Source organism: Homo sapiens, chromosome 14 (genome assembly GCF_000001405.40).
Source record: "Homo sapiens chromosome 14, GRCh38.p14 Primary Assembly".
NCBI lineage: Eukaryota > Metazoa > Chordata > Mammalia > Primates > Hominidae > Homo > Homo sapiens.
The window spans coordinates 52,524,153-52,544,671 of NC_000014.9; the positions used below are offsets into that span (position 1 = coordinate 52,524,153).

A 20,519-nucleotide genomic window follows, 5' to 3' on the forward strand; every position below is an offset into this window, starting at 1 on the left:
CAGGAGTTTTAGAGGAGGACAGCTGTAAAAGTAACTTTCCCCCGAGGTTCTACAGTAACAATGCCTAAACACTCAATCCTTACGCTCTGCAATAATGTGTTAAAGAATAAAATATTAGTGGAAACTATGACAGTTAAAAATAATTCTTCTAATACTTGAAGTTCATGTTATGAGTAGTATGTTAACATAAAGGGAAAGGAATTTCTATTTTCTGACAAAATACAGTATTGTCACAAGAAGTAGTACCATATCTTAATAAAGAGTTAATGAGATTTCACTGTTTCTTACTGGATTATCTTTTCTTTTTGCATCATTTGATGATTTTTTTCTTTTGCATCATTTGATTTTTTATTTTTATTTTTTTGAGGGTCTTGCTCTGTCACACAGGCTGAACGGCAAAATCATAGCTCACTGCAGCCTCGAGCTTCTGGGCTAAAGCCATTATCCTGTCTCAGCCTCAGTCTGAGTAACTAGGACAACAGGCACACATCACCATGCCTGGCTAAATTCTAAAAACGTTTTGTAGAGACTGGGGTCTCATTGTATTGCCCAGGCTGGTCTTGAACTCCTGGCCTCAAGTGATCCTCTTTCCTTAGCCTCCCAAAGTGCTGGGATTACAGTGTGCGCCACCTCACCTGGCCTGAGGATTCTTAGGAATCAACAATGAGTACAGGTAAAGAAGAATGGGCTGGGCGTGGTGGCTCACTCCTGTAATCCCAGCACTTTGGGAGGCTGAGGCGGGAGGATCACCTGGGGTCCGGAGTTTGAGACCAGCCTGGCCAACATGGTAAAACCCTGTCTCTACTAAAAATACAAAAAATTAGCCGGGCATGGTGGCAAGCGCCTGTAATCCCAGCTACTCGTGAGGCTGAGGCAGGAGAATCGTGTGAACCCAGGAGGTGGGGGTTGCACAGGGCCAAAATCACGCCATTGCACTCCAGCCTGGGCAACATGAGCGAAACTAAAAAAAAAGAATGGCCTTTCATTGCAACTGCTGCCTCATGGCAAATATCCCCACCAACTGCCACACCATGAACTCACATTTGTTTTTTCTTCTTAACTGATAAATAAAACTTCCTGCATTTATATATATATAAAATAAATAACATTTTAGAGCACTGGGCAAAATCCGTAACACATTATTTTCACGTGTTATTTTGATCATCGCAATAATCTCATGAGGCTGCAAGTATAACACATAAGAATGAGGAAAATAAATATAAATTGCTCATATTCTCAATCAATAAAAATTAGTTGGGCCAGGCACGGTGGCTCACACCTGTAATCCCAACACTTTAGGAGGCCGAGGTGGGCGGATCACAAGGTCAGGAATTTGAGAACAGCCTAACCAACATGGTAAAACCCTGTTTCTACTAAAAATACAAAAAAAAAAAAATTAGCCAGGTATGGTGGCGCATGCCTGTAATCCCAGCTACTCAGGAGGCTGAGGCAGGAGAACTGCTTGAACCCAGGAGGCGGAGGTTGCAGTGAGCCAAGATCGCACCACTGCACTCCAGGCTGGGCGACAGAGTGAGACTCCATCTCAAAATAATAATAATAATAATAATAATAATAATAATAATAATAATAATAAATAAAAATTTGTTGTTACTTTCCTTTTCTAAATACAATCATCTCTCAGTATCCTCAGGGGATTGATATCCAGGATTGATTCTTGGATACCAAAACCCATGGATGCTCAAGTCCCATATAAAATGGCAGAGAATCTGCTATAACCTACACACATCTTCCTGTATACTTTAAATCATCTCTAAATCACTTACTTATCATACCTAATACAATGTAAATGCTATGTAGTTATATTATATTTAAAATTTTTTTTACTGTTGTATTGTTATATTTGATTGCCTTTTTCAAATATTTTTGATCCGCTTATGGTTGAATCCACAGATGCAGAACCTGTGAATATGGAGGGCCAACTGTATTACCATTCTTAACCCCATCTAGAAGCTGGGAAGTAAAATTTTCCTCACATAGTAAATGAACCACTCAATTTTACCACTTTTCACTTTGTATATTTAGAAGGCAGAGTTAAGAATTTTTAGACTATAAATCCAAATTCTCATTTTTAATTTAAATGTCATTTATTTTACAAAGTGGTAATACTTTTACAGGGTTCAAAACACAAAAGGTACCAAAAAAGTTAGAGTCTACTTCATCCTCCACCCCCAGCTTCCCCATATCATTCCTATCAACCAATATGTTCAGTTTTTGTGAAACCTTGTAATATATATGCCACATACATGTATACTACATGCATTTACATGTGCCCCTGTAGAAGGAAATCCTGTGTGGCTCTCCCAGTGCTCCTACACAGACCAAATCTCCTGAAGATCAAATCTAGCAAGATAGAAAAATGGAGAAGTCCCATTCTAAGCTTGTTTCCTTTTCTCCAGGAGCCATCTGCTTCCATTCAAAGAGAAATAAAACATATCTGTGATACTGTAAAATATGTATTTGGTCCCCAACCCTGTTTGCTGGCATGCAACTCCTGACATCCTTACAATCTCCACCAAACTGATGTCTTGTGTATGCTAATGTGCTGACTGATGGCTGGCAGACAGCTTCAGGATGAGGCCTGGTCACTAAAAGACCAAGGCATGATTAGAGGGTTAGGACTTTCAGCTCTAACCCTCAGTCTCTGAGGAGGAGCGAGGGGCTGAAGGTTAGTTGGTCACCAATGGCCAATGGTTTAATCAATCATATCTACATAACAAAGCCTCCATAAAACCGCAAAGGGAGAGGGCTTGAAGAGCTTCCAGATAGCAAAATGCACAGAAGTTCCTGAAGGGTGGCATGCCAGCGGAGGGCAGCATGCCAGGGGAGGGCATGGAAGCTCCACGCCCCTTTCCATGTGCCCTGCCCCATGCATCTTTTCATCTGTATCCTTTGCGATACTCTTTGTAATACACCAATAAATGTAAATAATTGTTTCCCTGAGTTCTGTGAGCCACTCTAGAGAAACAGCCAAGCCCAACGAGGGGCTTGTTGGAGCCATGAGAACCCCAATTTATAGCTGTTCAGACAAAAGCATAGGAGCTTCTGTCCTATCTGACTGGCATCTCAGGTAGGGGGCAGTCTTGGGGACTTGGCCTTCAACACATGCAGGATCTGATACTATCTTCAGGTAGGTACTGTCAGAATTGAATAAGAGGACACCCCGCTGATGTCAGCTACAGAGTTGGTGTGTGGAGAAGACTCCTCAAACATCTGGTCACAGAAGTATTCTACGTTTTGTGAGAGCAGAGGAAAAATGATTTTTGTTTTTTTCACACACTATCTTCTCTTCCCCAGAGTCAAATGCTTATATTTAGTGATAGGGGCCTTCCTCTTCTGCTCTTATATTCCACAGTAAAAGATAAGCACTTTATCTTCAGAGAGGAAGAGTAAGTGTGCCAGCTCCTATATAAACTCGGAGATTAATAATGTTGAAGTTCTCATTCTTCAAACCTTGCTATGTACAGGTATAAGCATCTGACTCTTGCCTTGTCATTCAGTAGAGAACTAGGTATGAGGATAGCGCTACCGTGCTACTCTGGCTGCTGTTATTGCCGTAAGGTCAATTCTCTAATTCAGAAGTCTTCTATGTGTGTATAACATATATATATTACACAGACTCACAAGTAGGGTAACAACTCAGACTCTTTGGAGTTTTGGACTTAACACCCCCTCTCCTATGTAAATAGTATGATGCTATGCCCTAACCATTTGATTTATTTCACTTACTACATCCTGCAAAATCAATCTGAGAAAATTTTAATAGATTGACAAGTCACTATATTTTAAATCAATGATGTTTCAGCAGTGTTGTAAATATCCTACCAAAAAAGGTACATAATTGACAATAATGGTCAAAAAATATGTTTCAAATATTAACAATTAGTATAAAGATCACCCTAAGTTTATACTTGTTATTCTATCTCAGATTTTACTAACTTAATTTTTTCTTCAATTCCATATTCTGAAGATAACAAATTATCTAAAACAATGATCTTTTCTGCTGACGAAGTAGCAAAGTTCAAGTATAACTGTAGGTCACTGGTCTCAAGCAAAACATTCTAAGTAAGGAACAACACAAATGCTTCGGGATAAAAGTAACAGCATGGGTTACACATTTTTAAAAAGCAAGCCAAATAAAGTAACACATATTCTCTAACGCAGGCTTTTAGTTCATAGACAAGTATTTTGAGAACAATCCAAACATCTGTAAATATTTCTCCTTATTAAGAATTAGGCTAAGTATTGGATTTAGGTCAAAAATAACTGACTAGTTAAATATATTTTAATATGTATGTCATTGAATTTTTGTAAATGGAGGCAATCCCAGGAAATTTTGACTTGCCTGTTTACTGACTAATAAAATGTAAATGTAGAAGAATTATATATGATATATATATACACAGCTCTTATGTACATATCTAATAGTAGATAACAGTATCTTAGAAAAAAGACAAGAATATAAATACAAAAAAATTGCTTAGTAGTAAGTCACAGTAATAATATCCTTATTATAAGTGAAATACTATTTTGTTTATTATTAATAATAGTTGTAACTAGTTCATTTTTCAATTTATAATAAAAATCTGTAAGGTCAAAAGACACAAAATTAGTATGCAAAAATCAATCTTTCATATACTGGTATATATATTATACCTAGGTATATATATATATATGTGTGTGTGTATATATATAATACCTATTATATATATTATCTATAATACCTATTATATATATTATCTATAATACCTATTATATATTGTCTATAATACCTATTCTATATATTATCTATATAATACCTATTCTATATAATCTATATAAAACCTATTATATATTTTATCTATATAATACCTATTATATATTATCTATATAATACCTATTATATAGCAATGACTTGTAACCAACCCAAACGTCCAACAATGATAGACTGGATTAAGAAAATGTGGCACATATACACCATGGAATACTATGCAGCCATAAAAAATGATGAGTTCATGTCCTCTGTAGGGACATGGATGAAGCTGGAAACCATCATTCTCAGCAAACTATCGCAAGGACAAAAAACCAAACACCGCATGTTCTCACACATAGGTGGGAATTGAACAATGAGAACATATGGACACAGGAAGGGGAACACACTGGGGCCTGTTGTGGGGTGGGAGGAGGGGGGAGGGATAGCATTAGGAGATATACCTAATATTAAATGACAAGTTAATGGGTGCAGCACATCAACATGACACAGGTATACATATGTAACAAACCTGCACGTTGTGCACATGTACCCTAAAACTTTAACTATAATAATAAAAAGAAAAAATACCTACTATATATTATATATAATGCCTATTATATATATTATATATAATGCCTATTATATATAATATATATAATGCCTATTATATATAATATATATAATGCCTATTATATATATTATATATAATGCCTATTATATATATTATATATAATGCCTATTATATATATTATATATAATGCCTATTATATATAATATATATAATGCCTATTATATATAATATATATAATGCCTATTATATATATTATATATAATGCCTATTATATATTATATATAATACCTATTATATATATACCTAGTATATATTATATAATAATTATATATGACACCTATTATATATTATGTATTATTACTATATATAATAAATACCTATTATATATAATATGATACCTATTATATATATGAATTATATATTATATATTATATATTATATAATATACATTATATATATTATATATATGAATTATATATTACATATTATAATACATATAACAATATGTAATATATAATTCATATATATAATATATATTATATATTATATGTTATAATTATTTTTATGTAATTTATTTATACATTATATTTATATATTATATATTTATATTATGCATTTATATATTATATATATTTATATTATATATATTTACATATTACAATTTACATATATTTTATATATAATTTATATATATTATATTATATATAAATATATTATATTTATATATATTATATTATACAGAATAATATATAATATTACATATAATAATATATAATATATATTATATAATATATATTATTATTTAATATATAATTATTATATATAATATTAATATATAATATATAATTATTTTTATATTATATATAATTATATATTATAATATAATATATATTATTATATAATATTATATATAATATTATAATATAATATATAATTATTATATAATATTATATATAATAATATATAATATATTATTATATAATAATATATATTATATATTATTATATATAATATTATATATAATAATATAATATATATTATTATATAATATTATATATAATAATATAATATATAATTATATAATATTATATATAATAATATATAATTATTATATATAATATATATAATATGTAGTATATATATGTGTGTGTATATACATATATATAAAAAATACCTAGGTATATATATGTGTATATATGTTACACCTCTTGCATAATAGATAAGATGTATATTTTTTACATATATAAGAACACATCAGTATATGTCTGTATACGTCAGTATGTCTCTGTGTATTAGAAGATAACAGAAGAAAAAATTCATTTACAATAGAAAAAAAGATATAAAATCTCCAGTAATAAATTTAAGTATGCAGGCATATATTTTTAAAAAGCATTAAAACACTACTAGAATCAAAAGAATGAAAAGACAAGCAACAAACTGGCTTGTCTGGGAGAAAATACTTGTGAAAAATATATCTGATGAAGCACTGTTACCCAAAATATACAAAACTCAACAAGAAAACAAACAACCCAATTAAAAAATGAACCAAAGACCTTGACCTCATCATAGATAGACAGATGGAAAATAAGCATATGAAAACATCCTCCACATCATAAGTCATCAGGGAAATGCAAATTAAAACAACAAAGAGATACCACTATATACCTATTATGCTAGCTAAAATATGGAACACTGACAACACTGACAAGGATGTGGAACAACAGGAACTTTCATTCATTGCTGGTGGGAATGCGAAATGGTACAGCCACTTTGGAAGGCAGCTAGCAACGTTTTATAAAACTAAACATAATCTTACCATACAGTCCAGCAATCACACTCCTTTCGTATTTACCCAAAGGAGTTGGAAACTTAGGACCACACAAAAACCTAAATATGGATGTTAATAGCAACTTCATTTATAATTGCCAAAACTTGGCAACCAAGATGTCTTTCAGTAGGTCAATGGTTAAACTGTGATATATCCATTCAGTGGAATATTATTCAGTGATTTAAAAAATGAACTATCAAGCCATGAAAAGACATGCAGAAACCTTAAATGCATATTACTAAGTGCAAGAAGCCAAGATGAAAAGGCTACATGCTATATGATTCCAATTGTATCACATCTGGAAAAGACAAAACTACAAAGATAGTAAAAAGATCAGTGGTTTGTAGGGGAGAGAGGAAGGGATGAATAGTTAGGCACAGAGCATTTTGGGGGTAGTGAATCTATTCTGTATGACACTAATGGTAGAAATGTGTCATACATTTGTCAAAACTTATAGAATGTAGAACACAAAGAGTGAAACTTCAATGTAAACTATGTACTTTAGTCAATAATATGTCAATATTGGTTCATCAATTGTAACAACTGTACCACACTAATGCAAAATGTTAATAATAGGGAAAATTATATATAAAGGAGGAGATATACTGGGATTTTCTGTACTATCTGCTCAAATTTCTGTAAATTTTTCAAGTTTCTGTACATCTAAAACTGCTCAAAGTCTAAGACTTTGTTTCTTAAAAATCCGAAAAATGGGTGAATTCATTTATAACAATGGAATAAGGGAAAGGTAGTACAACTTAAAATCCAGAAGTCAAAAAGAAAAAATAAATTTGACCACATAATTTTTTGAAGAACACAATAGGGAAATTCAAAAGACAAATGAAAAACTTGAAAAATTTTTACAGTTTGTGCTTTATATAAGGAGAGCTCCTAGAAATTAATAAAAATAAAGTTTAAGCTGAGTGTGGTGGTGTGCACCTGTACTCCCAGTTATTCCAGAGGCTGAGGTGGGAGGATCCCTTCAGGTTAGGAGTTTGAGGCCACAGTGTGATATAATTGCACCTGTGAATTGCCAGTTCACTCAAGCCTGGGGAATACAGCAAGACCCCATCTCAAAATAAATCAAGTTTAAAACATAATTTAAAAATGGACAAAAGTTGTCAAGCAACAGTTCAAATCTATTTTTTTTTTTGAGACAGAGTCTCAGTCTGTCACCCAGGTTGGAGTGCAGTGGCGCGATCTCAGCTCACTGCAAGCTCCACCTCCCGGATTCACACCATTCTCCTGCCTCAGCCTTCCGAGTAGCTGGGACTACAGGCGCCCGCCACCACGCCCGGCTAATTTTTTGTATTTTTAGTAGAGACAGGGTTTCACCGTGTTAGCCAGGATGGTCTCAATCTCCTGACCTCGTGATCTGCCCACCTCGGCCTCCCAAAGTGCTGAGATTACAGGCGTGAGCCACCGCACCCAGCCAGTTCAAATCTATTTTTATGAGTAGTATGCAACTGTAAGAGTACAACAGAAAAAAAAAACTGCTAGCCAGGAACTGGGTATTTCAAACTGATGGTTTTAGCATCCAAAAGTAAGAAGATAGGTTGTTCCTCATGGCAATTTGCAAGGTACAGCTAAGGGACAGCATACTGTTTGGCATAGTTCTTTAACATTGTAAATATCGTTACTGGGAAATTTTATAAAACACTGTATTACATAAGTCATTTTCTCACATTTTAAACAAAAATGAGGACACTGCCTCTTTGGAATTCTACTTCCTTGATATTTATTTTTTTTCTCTCAGTTTCTTCTCTTAAATGGTGGTATTGCCCTAGGATGCTCCCTGGCTGACCTATATGTTGACAACACCTGGATGTACAATGCTCTGGGGCTCAAACTCCTATAGATGCCTGACTGAGGCATGATGGACTTTCCACTTGCTAAAGTAGACTCATATTCTGTAAATTTGCTCTTCTTCCTTGCCTATTTCAGATGGTGATCAGACTAGAGCTGGGTAGCATGAGGTAGGAAAGAAGAGATCAAGAATTAACAAGTTTGTAGTTTTACTGTTACCAAATTAACCATTACCAAGTCCAGCTAATTTTACCTCCTAAGCATTAAAAAGAAAATCCCCCCTTTGCTGTATCTACTCTACCTCCCTAGATTATACAACGGTCACAGAATGGTTTATACATGTGCTCAAACCCCATAGACATATCTCACATCCACCAGAAAGATCTCTCAAATACTAATCTGATCACATCACTTGCCTGCCTACAGCGCTTTGCTGGGCAATCAGGTGTTAAAGTAGTCAATCAGAACAACAAGCCAAACCAAAAGTAATAATCAAGGTTTCATTTACTTACTAGGAAAGTGCAAACAAGATGCAAAAAAGAGAGGTGCTGGCTCAACAATGTTAAATTTTTCATCCCTTGGAATGACCACAGGCAAGGGTCAGGTGGATACAGTGCAGACACAAGGTATCATCTCATTCCAAGGAGTCCCAAACAACAGGCCCCACTTCTTTATGGACCCATGGACTTGAGGGAACAAAAGGGGTGTGGGGTAAGAGCGGAAAGGCCCTGACTCAAAGATAAGAAAAGCACCTTAGCCAAGGGCTCTGGTAAGGAGGCCTCAAAATGGAGGTAGCGGGGCTAGGAATGCAGATGCACATATAAGCATAGGGGCCTGAAGGATTAGGAGAGGAATAGGCCTATGTCCTTGACCTCAATTTTCTCTAGAAAACTGCAATGTACTGCTTATGTGCCAAGTGTGGTATGGTGAGGGCAGCTTCCCCCTGTGAGGTTTGTCAGGCATAGCCTTGGAATATTGCATATGATCAGGCCTGAAAGATCACATAAGGATTTTGGCCTACAGCTGGACTCCTCACTTTTCAGTGGTTACCCAAAAGCCTAAACTTATACAGAGGGAAAACAAAAATTCCCTTCCTCTGACCCCATGTCTACTTTTCTACTCTTATCTCCTGCTTCACATTTTATACTCTGGCAAAACCACCACCTTCTCCCAACTACTTCTAACCTCTATGACAAGCTTGTCCAACCTGTGGCTCATGGGCTGCATGCAGCTCAGGACAGCTTTGAATATGGCCCAACACAAATTCGTAAACTTTCTTAAAACATTATGAGATGTTTCTGCAATTTTTTTTAAGCTCGTCAGCTATCATTAGTGTACTTTATGTGTGGACCAAGACAATTCTTCTTCCGATGTGGCCCAGGTAAGCCAAAAAAAAGATTGAACATGGCTGCTGTATGCCTTTGTCACAAAGTTCCTCTTGCTTTTCTCACCTTCCCCTTCTTCACCAAGCACTTACCCTTTAACATTCATCCCAACTGCCACTTCCTTCAGGAAGCCCACTTAATAAATATCCACCCTCATTCTAGACATGAATAACTACTCCCTTCTCTGTGGATCCATTAGCCCTTATGCATACATACTTCTACTATTTTACTTATCACATATTAATAATATTTTCTGTTTATCTGTCTGTGCAACACTAAATTCCTACAGAACAGAAGCCACATCCTATTCTGTTTTTTATAGCCAATGTCTAACAAGTGTCTGGCACACAGCAGGAACATGGGGAATAATCTATTTGTGGAATTCGTGTTCTATAAATCAGCATTAGTACAGCACTAAGAACAGGACACTACTAAAGCAGGACTGAATGAGCTGAGCCTCACGGAGTAACCAGTTTAGATAACAGGGTCCTCGGTCCTCTCCACATCTAGGGCCAGCTGTTTCAAAACCACTTTGTCATCAAGTTGTTCAATGTGGATATGCCACTCCAGGATTTGGTGTCAAATTTGGATTCATTCTTTATGAAAAGACTTCTTTTTCTGTTTCTTCACCCCCATTTCTGGGTCAAAGATAGTCATCAGGTATCCACCGGAAAAACAGCTGCTAACTAGTAAGCTTCCTGAGAACAAATGTCATATCTATTACTTGGACTTTTTGCTAAGCTTCACAGAACCCCCACCATCAAGATAGCTACCCCTCTGTCCCAGGAAAGGGATTCCAAGGAATTCCTTCCTCAAAAGACCATCTTCACTCATTACGATTGGCTCGTTAGTCTACAAGTATCAGGGCCCATGGTTGTCAGGAATTTCTAAAGGCCTTTTGTTAACATATTATTGGGACTGGAACATTTGTAAAGTGATAAGCACAACTTTTCACCTGTAAGTTTTGAATTTCCAGGAGTTAAACTACCAATTTTTGTAGGTGAGAGAGGAAGAGGAGACCCAAGCAGAAAAAGACAGCCAATGTCAGCAAAGGTCTTAGTGGACAACAGGCTTATAACATTAAATTAGAAAAGTCCATGTAAACCTGTGTCCTTAACAAGTCATATTTTCTAGCTCTGTTACCAAAGAGAATATCAGACTTAATTCAGGGGAAGAGTCCAAGAATGGACCCCAGATAGACCTAAATACCAGGCCTGGAGATTCCAGGCCAGAAAACTTAAACTTTCTCTCAGTAAACACTGAGGTATGTGTTGGGACAAACTCTTTCTGTACTAACTGAGCAAGCCCAGAGCTAGAGAATCCAGAAAGAAACCCAGCTGGGATAAGAAGAAAGCCAGGTACTTTAAAAATCCCAGTGAGAATAACAAAGATGAGTGGTGCATGCCTATAGGTCCCAGCTACTCGGGAGGCTGAGGTGGGAGGATCGCTTGAGCCTGGGAGGTGGAGGTTGCAGTAAGCCAATATCACGCCACTGTGCTCCAGCCTGGGAGACAAAGTGAGACTCCATCTCAAAACAAAAAACAAAAACAAAAAAAAAACAAAGATGAGCTTCCTACCTGGTACTATGGTCTAAATGTTTATGTCTCCCCAAAATTCATATGTTGAAATCCTAACTGCCAGTATGATGATATTAGGAGGTTATAAGGGCAGAGCCCTCAAGAATATTAGTGCCCTAATAAAAGAGACCCTGAGAGAGCTCCTTTATCCCTTTCATCATGTGAGGACACAGGGAAAAGATGACCAGCTATAAACCAGGGGCCCTCACCCAACACCAAATCTGCCAGTACTTTGATCTTGGACGTCCCAGATTCCATAACTGTGAAAAATAAATTTCACAGTTGTTTATAAGCTACCCAGTTTCATTGTTGTTTATAAGCTACCCAGTCTACTGTATTTTGTTATAGCAGCCTGAACAGACTAAGATACCTGGCAAAATCCTCACTCCTCCAGTTAGACCTCACTCGATGTGGTTTTGTTGAGTCATCTCCTACTCTTATAAAAGTATCTCCATGCTTCTGTATCCTTTGCCATTAAAAAATTTTTTAGATCCTCGATGTGGGAAGATAGATTAGTAATTTGTGTTAAATTGTTGCCTACAAATATAATGTTAAAACCCTGAAATATTTTAATGAATTGTGGTTATTTAAAATGAAATCAACAGATAAGTAACAAGTAAACAAATGAATGTGTAGCCCCTGTACTTACAAGAGAACATGGGCGACAATGGCATTCACATCAAACAAGGTGTCAGTAGGGAATTCTCTGAGCAATATGTTGCCCCTATAAAAAGTTTAAAAACATATTAATATTGAAAAATACAAAAAATATTTCCTTAGAATTCAATTTACTTGTCTATCAAATACATTAGCTTATAAGGTCTTTGATGTTACAGCTGTGTCTTGTCCACATACTCCACATACCTACCAGCGTCCTGGCACATAATACATTCTCAATAAATATATTAACTTTGAAAAGCCTAGGCTCTGTACCTGGCAAAAAGGCTAGAAAAAAATAGGAGTCCAAACAAGGATTCCTACCAGTCTCCCCAACTCACAATCACACACACACACACACACACACACACATTCCCCAAATTGGGCTGGGAAGAAGGCAAGAAGGAAAAAGAAGTGTCCTCAGAAGGTCCCTGAGGAAACAGGACCTCTCCCCACTTCTTCGGCCAAATCCCAAGGATTTGAGAAACCTCAGGTAGATCAAACCCAAGTGCAGAGAGATTGGCAGATCTCTCAAAAATAAAGCACATTTATTTCACACCCAAATGTGGACCTGACATATCTACCCAGAACATTAAATTTGGTAAGCACTTGCTTACCAGGCATTTGTTGTAGGAGTTTACACAAGAGCCTCACAAACAACCTTGTGATGTAGGTATTACTCTCTGTTTTATAAATAAGGAAGTTAAAGTACTGAGAGGTTAGGTAACAAATCTATTACTTGGACTTTTGGTTAAGCTTTACATGATCCCCCCTACATATGACTTTATTCTAGCTCAGTGATATTTTACATATTTGAATATTCTAGAAGTATAGCTTTGTATTTGTCCAGCACACTCAGGAAAATAGCTTACTTGAATAAATATGCTTTCATCAAATCCTTTTCTTTTCCACAGTATCTTGATATTTCTTCTTTGACACAATTAACCTTTAAAAGAGTATACTTAAGTTTTAGCATATATATCAAAAGGTCAAGTTTCTTGGTTGGGGAAACAAGAAGGAGAATTAAATATTACAGTTTGTTGCAGGTCAAATTTTGTATTTTATGTTTTTTTCTGATTTGTATGCTATAATTGTTCACATATTCAAGTGCATGAGATAACCCAAAGAAAGGCACTATTTCTGAATTCAGTCTCATGGAACCAGTATGTGGTAACCAGGTAGAAAAGGAAGGACACATTTAAGGCAAGACAAAAAGTATGAGCAATAGCCAGGAAGCACAAAAGTGAGTGCTAACTTGGAATGATGAAAGCATCTCAGCAAGTGGAACACAGAGATAGCAGATACTGCTGGTTTCCCACCCAAAATCCATCCTTCCCTTTTGTTTACTAACAGAACTTTGCTAAAAGCAAGTGTTTCATTAAAAGGCTTTCCCAACCTCCCCAACAGCCTGCAATGGCTAAATGGTGTTTGGAGGAGTCACTGGGCTGAAACTCCTAAAAGGCTCTTAAAAGTGGGCTGACTGATACTTTTGCTCTTTTCACTCCTTCTTGACCAAAAATAGGTAAGACAGATGGAGTACCAACAGCAATCACGGACCATAAGGCATCTTTAAAGAAGCTACTTGCAAAGAATGGTACAACAGAAAGAATGAACTAAGTCAATGATGATGTCAGAGCAGCCATACCAGCCCTGGATAGCTTATAATCTGAACTCTAAGTGAAAAAAATATATAATAACAATCTTGGCAACAACATGAAGATAAACAGAAAGCAAAAGAACACAAAGATAAGGAGAGTTTAAAAGAATATCACATTAGCGTAGGTCATGGATGACTTGGATGAGAAGTAAAGCCAAAAAGGACAGAAGACATACAAAAGGCTTTTTACAAATACAATACATACAACTAGGGGGAAGACTGAGCATGTATATGCAGATTGAGATAGAGGAAGAGAGGAAAGAGAAAAAAAGAATGAAGGGGTTTCTAGATGGGGCAAATGGAGAGCCACCAATGTTAACTAACCAAAACTAAGGCTAGAAGAATAGTTATTTTGTTTTGCATTTGGTAAGGCTTTTGTTTCTCTTAAGAGGGGGTTTTCCTGTTGTTCAATTTAATTTTAATGGGATTTGAGGAAGAAGAAGAAGAACTGGGGAAGCAACGTTTGTTTAAAAGGCTACAAAACAGGAACTGACACTAAGAAACGAGAAATAGAGAATCAGAATTAAAGTCAGACTATAGCCATAACCAAAAAGTAAATTTTAATATATGTAATTTTAAAAATTTTTTAAGTTACAGCATAAGGATGGTTGGTATTATGACAATAGATGTGTCCATTCATTCATCAATTCAAAATATATTTGAACATCTACCATGTCAGTCACTGTTCTAGTCACTTTGGGTACAGGTAAGTTCCAAATAAAAATATTTAGCTTTAGAACAATGTAAGGTAGAGACAAGTTGAAAACTAATTAATATGTAGTGTTAAGTCCTATAAATAAAAAAATTGTAAGGGAATAGCATGTGATAGGGCATTTTAGAGAGGTAATCAAGGAAGGCTTCTCTGAAAAAGTGACATTTGCACAAAGAACTGAAGAAATGCAGTAATGCATAAAAGTATACAAATAAGTATAAGAGATGAGTTCTAAGCAGAGGGGAAAATATCTGCAAAGGCCCTGTGGTTAACAGCACCTCCAGCAGGTTCAAATAACAGAAAGATGACCACTATGTATTAAGAACGAACTGAACAAAGTGGAGGGTCAGAAAATGAGATCAGAGACAAAGCCAGTGTCCACAACACTCAAAAGTTTCTATTTGATCATAATTGGAATGAAAGGACTTTCGCAGCATGGTAGTGATGTATCCTGATACATCTGGCTACATATGGAGAAGAGTCTGTCATGGGACAAAGTGAAGGAAGAAAGGCCAATTATTAGGAGGCTATTGTGGTTTCCCCAATGAGAAGAGATGGCAGGAAGAAGTAAAAATGAAGGTATAGGAAGTGGTCAGATTTGAAAAGTTCTCATAGTAGAACCAAGTAGTAGATGGATTACTTATGAGAGAAAGAAAAGTCAAGGATGACAGAGCTTTTTGTTTAAAATCTACTTTGATACACTAGATTTCTTCTGGTTATCACTTGTATAATATATCTTTTTTTTCCTTCCTTTACTTTGAAGATTTCTGAAACCCTTATTTTGGATGCATTTCTAAATATCATTGGTTAGGGAAACAAGAAGGAGAATTAAACATTACAGCTTGTTTCAGGTCAAATTTTGTACTTTACGTTTTTTTTCTGATTTGTATGCTATAATTGCTCACATATTCAAGTGCATGAGATAACCCAGAGAAAGGCACTATTTCCGAATTCAATCTTATGGAACAAGTAGGTGGTAACCAGGTAGAAAAGGAAGGACACATTTAAGGCAAGACATATAGCCCTAAATAGCATACAGCTTTCTTGGGTTATTGTATCCAGCTTGACATTCATTGTCTTGACTAGAATACGTAGCCCATTTATATTTTAGCATTTTCTTCATCCTGCCTCTTGCTATCTTCTGAAAACAATCTTAAATGCTGCTTTTTGTGAACTCTTTCCCAATACATCTGTGACTTTCCACCTCAAAAATCAAATATAGGCTTTCTTTCCTTTAAACTTCAATGGGCTAGGCGCGGTGGCTCATGCCTGTAATCCCAGCACTTTGGGAGGCTGAGGCAGGAGGAACACCCGAAGTCAGGAGTTTGAGACCAGCCTGACCAATATGGTGAAACCCCATCTCTACTAAAACTACAAAAATTAGCCAGGCATGGTGGCATGCGCCTGTAGTCCCAGCTACTTGGGAGGCTGAGACAGGTGAATTGCTTGAACCCAGGAGGCAGAGGTTGCAGTGAGCCAAGATGGTGCCACTGCACTCCAGCCTGGGTGACAGAGCAAGACTCGGTCTCAAAAAAAAGAAGAAAAAAAACTTCTATGGCACTTTATTTGTATCTCTCCTATTACAATGATCAGGTTCTGCTAGTTATTAAAATGACTTGTGAATGTGTTTTATCCTCCTTATTTAGGATATAAACTCTCCAAAGAAAAGGACAGGGGCTTAGTCATCTTTCTATCCAAAAGAAGATTAAATATGGTAAGCTCATTTCTATCTCACAAATATTTACTCAGCACTGGGTGGTGGGAACTGAGCTAGGCACTCAACAAAGGTTTATCTCATTTGCCACTATCTCCTTTCCAGATAGAGCTCAGCATTCTCACTGTAAAATCAGGAGTTTCAGGCCGGGTGCAGTGGCTCATGCCTGTAATCCCAGAATTTTGGGAGGCCAAGGCGGGTGGATCACCTGAGGTCAGGAGTTCAAGACCAGCCTGGCCAATACGGTGAAACCCCATCTCTACTAAAAATATAAAAATTAGCCAGACATCGTGGCACATGCCTGTAATCCTAGCTACTGGGGAGGCTGAGGCAAGAGAATCGCTTGAACCTGGGAGGCGGAGGTTGCAGTGAGCCGAGATTGTCCCATTGCACTCCAGCCTGGGCGACAAGAGCAAAACTCTGTCTCAAAAAAAAAAAAATCAGGAGTTTCAGTTATGTTCGTCCATAAGGGCAACAGCTTGGGCATGAACCTTAGCATTCTATTCAAGTTACTATATGCATAGTTATTAGCGACAGTCTACCAGTTACTAAACAGTATGATTATCCCTTTTGAGTTTCCTACCAACCTACTACTTCATTTCTAAGTTTCAATTTAAAATTTTATTCAGAGATCCTTGGAGATGATTGCCATTATCATTCTAGAGTGAAATCAGTTGTTCAAAGTTAATTGAGATCTCTATACGTACAGAATTGACACATTTAAAAAATAGATATTTTTTAAAGGTATACAGCCAATGTTAGTCAATGTTTCTATGCTGTCTGCTCTGGGAACTCTAGCTGCAGAGACCAAGAGCGACCATAGCCATCTTTTAGAAGAGGAAGGCTAATGAATTAAGAAAAAATGTACACAGAAAGTCAGGTAGACATTAACCAGAAAGAATTTAGTATCACTGGGTTACCCCTCATTCAGTTGTCTGATATATAAATTCTAAGTTTAAATTAAATGAAAGGCTTACATATCTATCTAATCCATGATGCATGTGGAAATTTTCTATAATACTCTATGGCAAATTTGAACATTTTTTGAGAAAAAAATTAAGTATGTAATGTTGAGTCGTTATAACTTTGTTCTAAAAATAAATGCGAAAAAGTGAAACATAAACAATTATAAAGACTTAGAAGAACAGAAAAAAATTATTTGTTTACCTCCATTTTGTTACTTCAGTTTGTGCTAATAAAAATTTAAAAACAGCTGAATTGTGGCTACCTATTATGAAATATTCATTAGGCAAAACAAAACAGAACAAAAACCTAACTATAGGTTTGAAAAATGATACCATGGGCCCAATAGAATGGTTTATAACATAAAGTTAAATTCTAAGCTAAAAATTTTTAAACAGCTTTTTGTCCCCTCTATATGCAGTATGTTATGCAATAACCTGAAACTATCTTTCTGGGCTTCTGTTTATTCTTATGAAAAAAATATATTTCCAGTTTGGAAAAAGATATGAAATGGAAGTATTTTAAGATATTCAATCTTAAGCCATAAAGTTGTAAGATGTTCGTCACTAATATTTTAGTAACATAAATATCTTTCTACCTTGGCAACTGAAATTCCATAGTCCTGCAGAGGTCTAACAGCCTCATTCAGTTCTTCAAGAAATACAGATGTTCTTGGGGAATCTAAAACAACAAATGTTTCATGAATGTTTATGAATTGCCCCTTAAAAATGAATTTTAAAATCTGCAAACACAGAATAGATTCATTTGTCCAACTAGCATGCAACAACAAATAACTAAACATATCTCATTACATATTTTCACACCCTTATTTTACTATTGCCTCATTATTCTTATTTCTGTTTTTATCATGATGTACTTTAACTTTGTAAATGGACCTTAAAAACTTCCTAAAACAACAATATAATAAATGTTTCGTTTAAACCTAACATTTGGCATTCTTCCTCCAAGTTTAATACCATATACACAACACACATGTACACATACAAAAACTTTCAAAATGATTTTAAAATATCATTTTCTAATCACAATTATAATAAGGGAGCCAACAGAAATGTGTATACTCACTTCACTTATTAATTCCAAGAATAGTACTTTTAAGACATGAAGACTTGAATTTGACTATTAAAAAAATTATTAGTTATGCTCAATAGTTATATTAGTTAATTCAGTATAATTAACAATACAGCTAAAGCAGGGTATTAATCTAAAGCATTACATTTAAAGTTGTAAAAAACTTAAAATAGTTACACGCTAAAAACATGAGAAAGTATTCTTTCAGATGTTATGTTAGTAGCTAACTCTTATCTAGTATTTACTATGAACTCAGCATATAAGTAAAATCATTTAATCCTCACAACAAACTTATAAAGTACTATTTCTTCTGAACAGATGATGAAAGAAAAACACAGAAAAGCTAAGTGACTTAACCAAGGTCACACCACAGGACAAGCGGCACGGGCCGGATTCAAACCCAGTCAGACATATTATAGTAACAGCTATATAGCACATATTATTAATCTTAACAGAAATTTCCCACTGAACTTACTGATTAAATAGCAATAAAAACATCACAAGAATCATATTAGAATTTTAAAAATACTTACCAGCTTGACAAAAATAAGCTAAAGAGGCTTTTCCTGGTTGCAATGTACTAAAATATTTCTGAGGACTCAGTTCTGGTAAAGAGTTTACTGTTGGCATGTAAAAAATGCACATTATGACAAAAGAGATCCCAACTCTAAAGACATTGAAGCCGGAAAACATTATCAGCTGCAGTTGTATCTGAGCGGATTTTGTCTGTTTTTTCACTGCTGTGTTCTGTTTCCTAAGACAACACCTGGCACAGAGAAGGTATTCAACAAGAGTTTGTTGAATGAATTTGTTAAATGAATGAATGAAGTAAAATCTACAAAAAGAAAGTCATTAGTCACATCATTTGATTTTGCTAGTACTTTACTATATCATAAAAATTTGAGGGGGGACAATATATAACAACATTGACTTGAAAATACTATTGATTTTTCATACTTGCAAAAGATATCAAAACTACCTAGAAAATGCTCAATTTAGTAGAGTGTGTTAAGCTAATTGTCATTTTAAAGGGTTCTAAAATTAATTCTCAAACATTAACCAATCCATTTTTTAATTGGGCATTTTGTTTTTCTTTACCTATAGTTGATTATAAGAAATAATCGAATAATTATTTAATACCATTTAGATGGGAGTGAAACAGCCAAAATATGCCTAATATGTTTACTTTTACTTTAAATCCCCTAGAAGAAATCTATTAAAACAATGGAAGAACATTCCTTCTAAATATACATAATTTGTAATGCCTAACCCTTAGATTTCTCTATACTGCTTAAAAATTTAAATATCTTTTTCAACTCATACTTTAATTCAATTCTATGTTCTGAAATCAAATTTGTTCTAGATATCCTCCTCTTATCTTCTTTCTTGGCGTACTTACTTCCATGCTGTCCTCTGTATCTGCTGTTAATTCTTTATTTTCTATTTTGCTACTTTCAAATTTTTCTTGAACAACTTCAAGAAGTTTTCTACTGATGATCTATGTTATCTACATTTAAAAGAAGAAAGTTTAGAAAAATTAGTATAATATAAAAACAGTCATAGCTGTAGGTGAAAATTTTGTTTCAGTATTTTTAAAATTTCAAACAGGACCCATCTCTTTCAAATGCAAGCTCACTATCTCAAAATAGGCAATAGGAAAAAACAGCAATAGATTATTTCTATATACTCATAAGGATAAAAGTAGAATTTTTCAGCAAAGAATAAAATAATAAAGAATTTGAAATGTATGAAAAATCATATTAAATTGAGTATTTACTCTGCTCATTCAATATTATCAATAAGCACA

General features: G+C 34.9%; 1 protein-coding gene across 5 annotated transcripts in view; it reads right to left on the reverse strand.

Annotated features, from left to right (window-relative positions):
* The window catches only part of TXNDC16 (thioredoxin domain containing 16), a 121,910-nt gene that overhangs the window by 93,557 nt on the left and 7,834 nt on the right, over positions 1 to 20,519 (reverse strand). For all 5 annotated transcript variants that reach the window (XR_007064038.1, XR_007064037.1, NM_001160047.2 and 2 more), the window contains exons 2-6: positions 20,112 to 20,219; positions 19,246 to 19,478; positions 18,219 to 18,301; positions 13,447 to 13,520; positions 12,567 to 12,641 (exon numbers count right to left, since the gene is read on the reverse strand). Coding sequence is in view for 3 of the 5 variants with exons in the window: in NM_001160047.2 (NP_001153519.1) it covers positions 12,567 to 12,641; positions 13,447 to 13,520; positions 18,219 to 18,301; positions 19,246 to 19,405 (392 nt within the window). In the remaining 2 variants the exon portion in view is untranslated. The remainder of the gene's footprint in view (positions 1 to 12,566; positions 12,642 to 13,446; positions 13,521 to 18,218; positions 18,302 to 19,245; positions 19,479 to 20,111; positions 20,220 to 20,519) is intronic.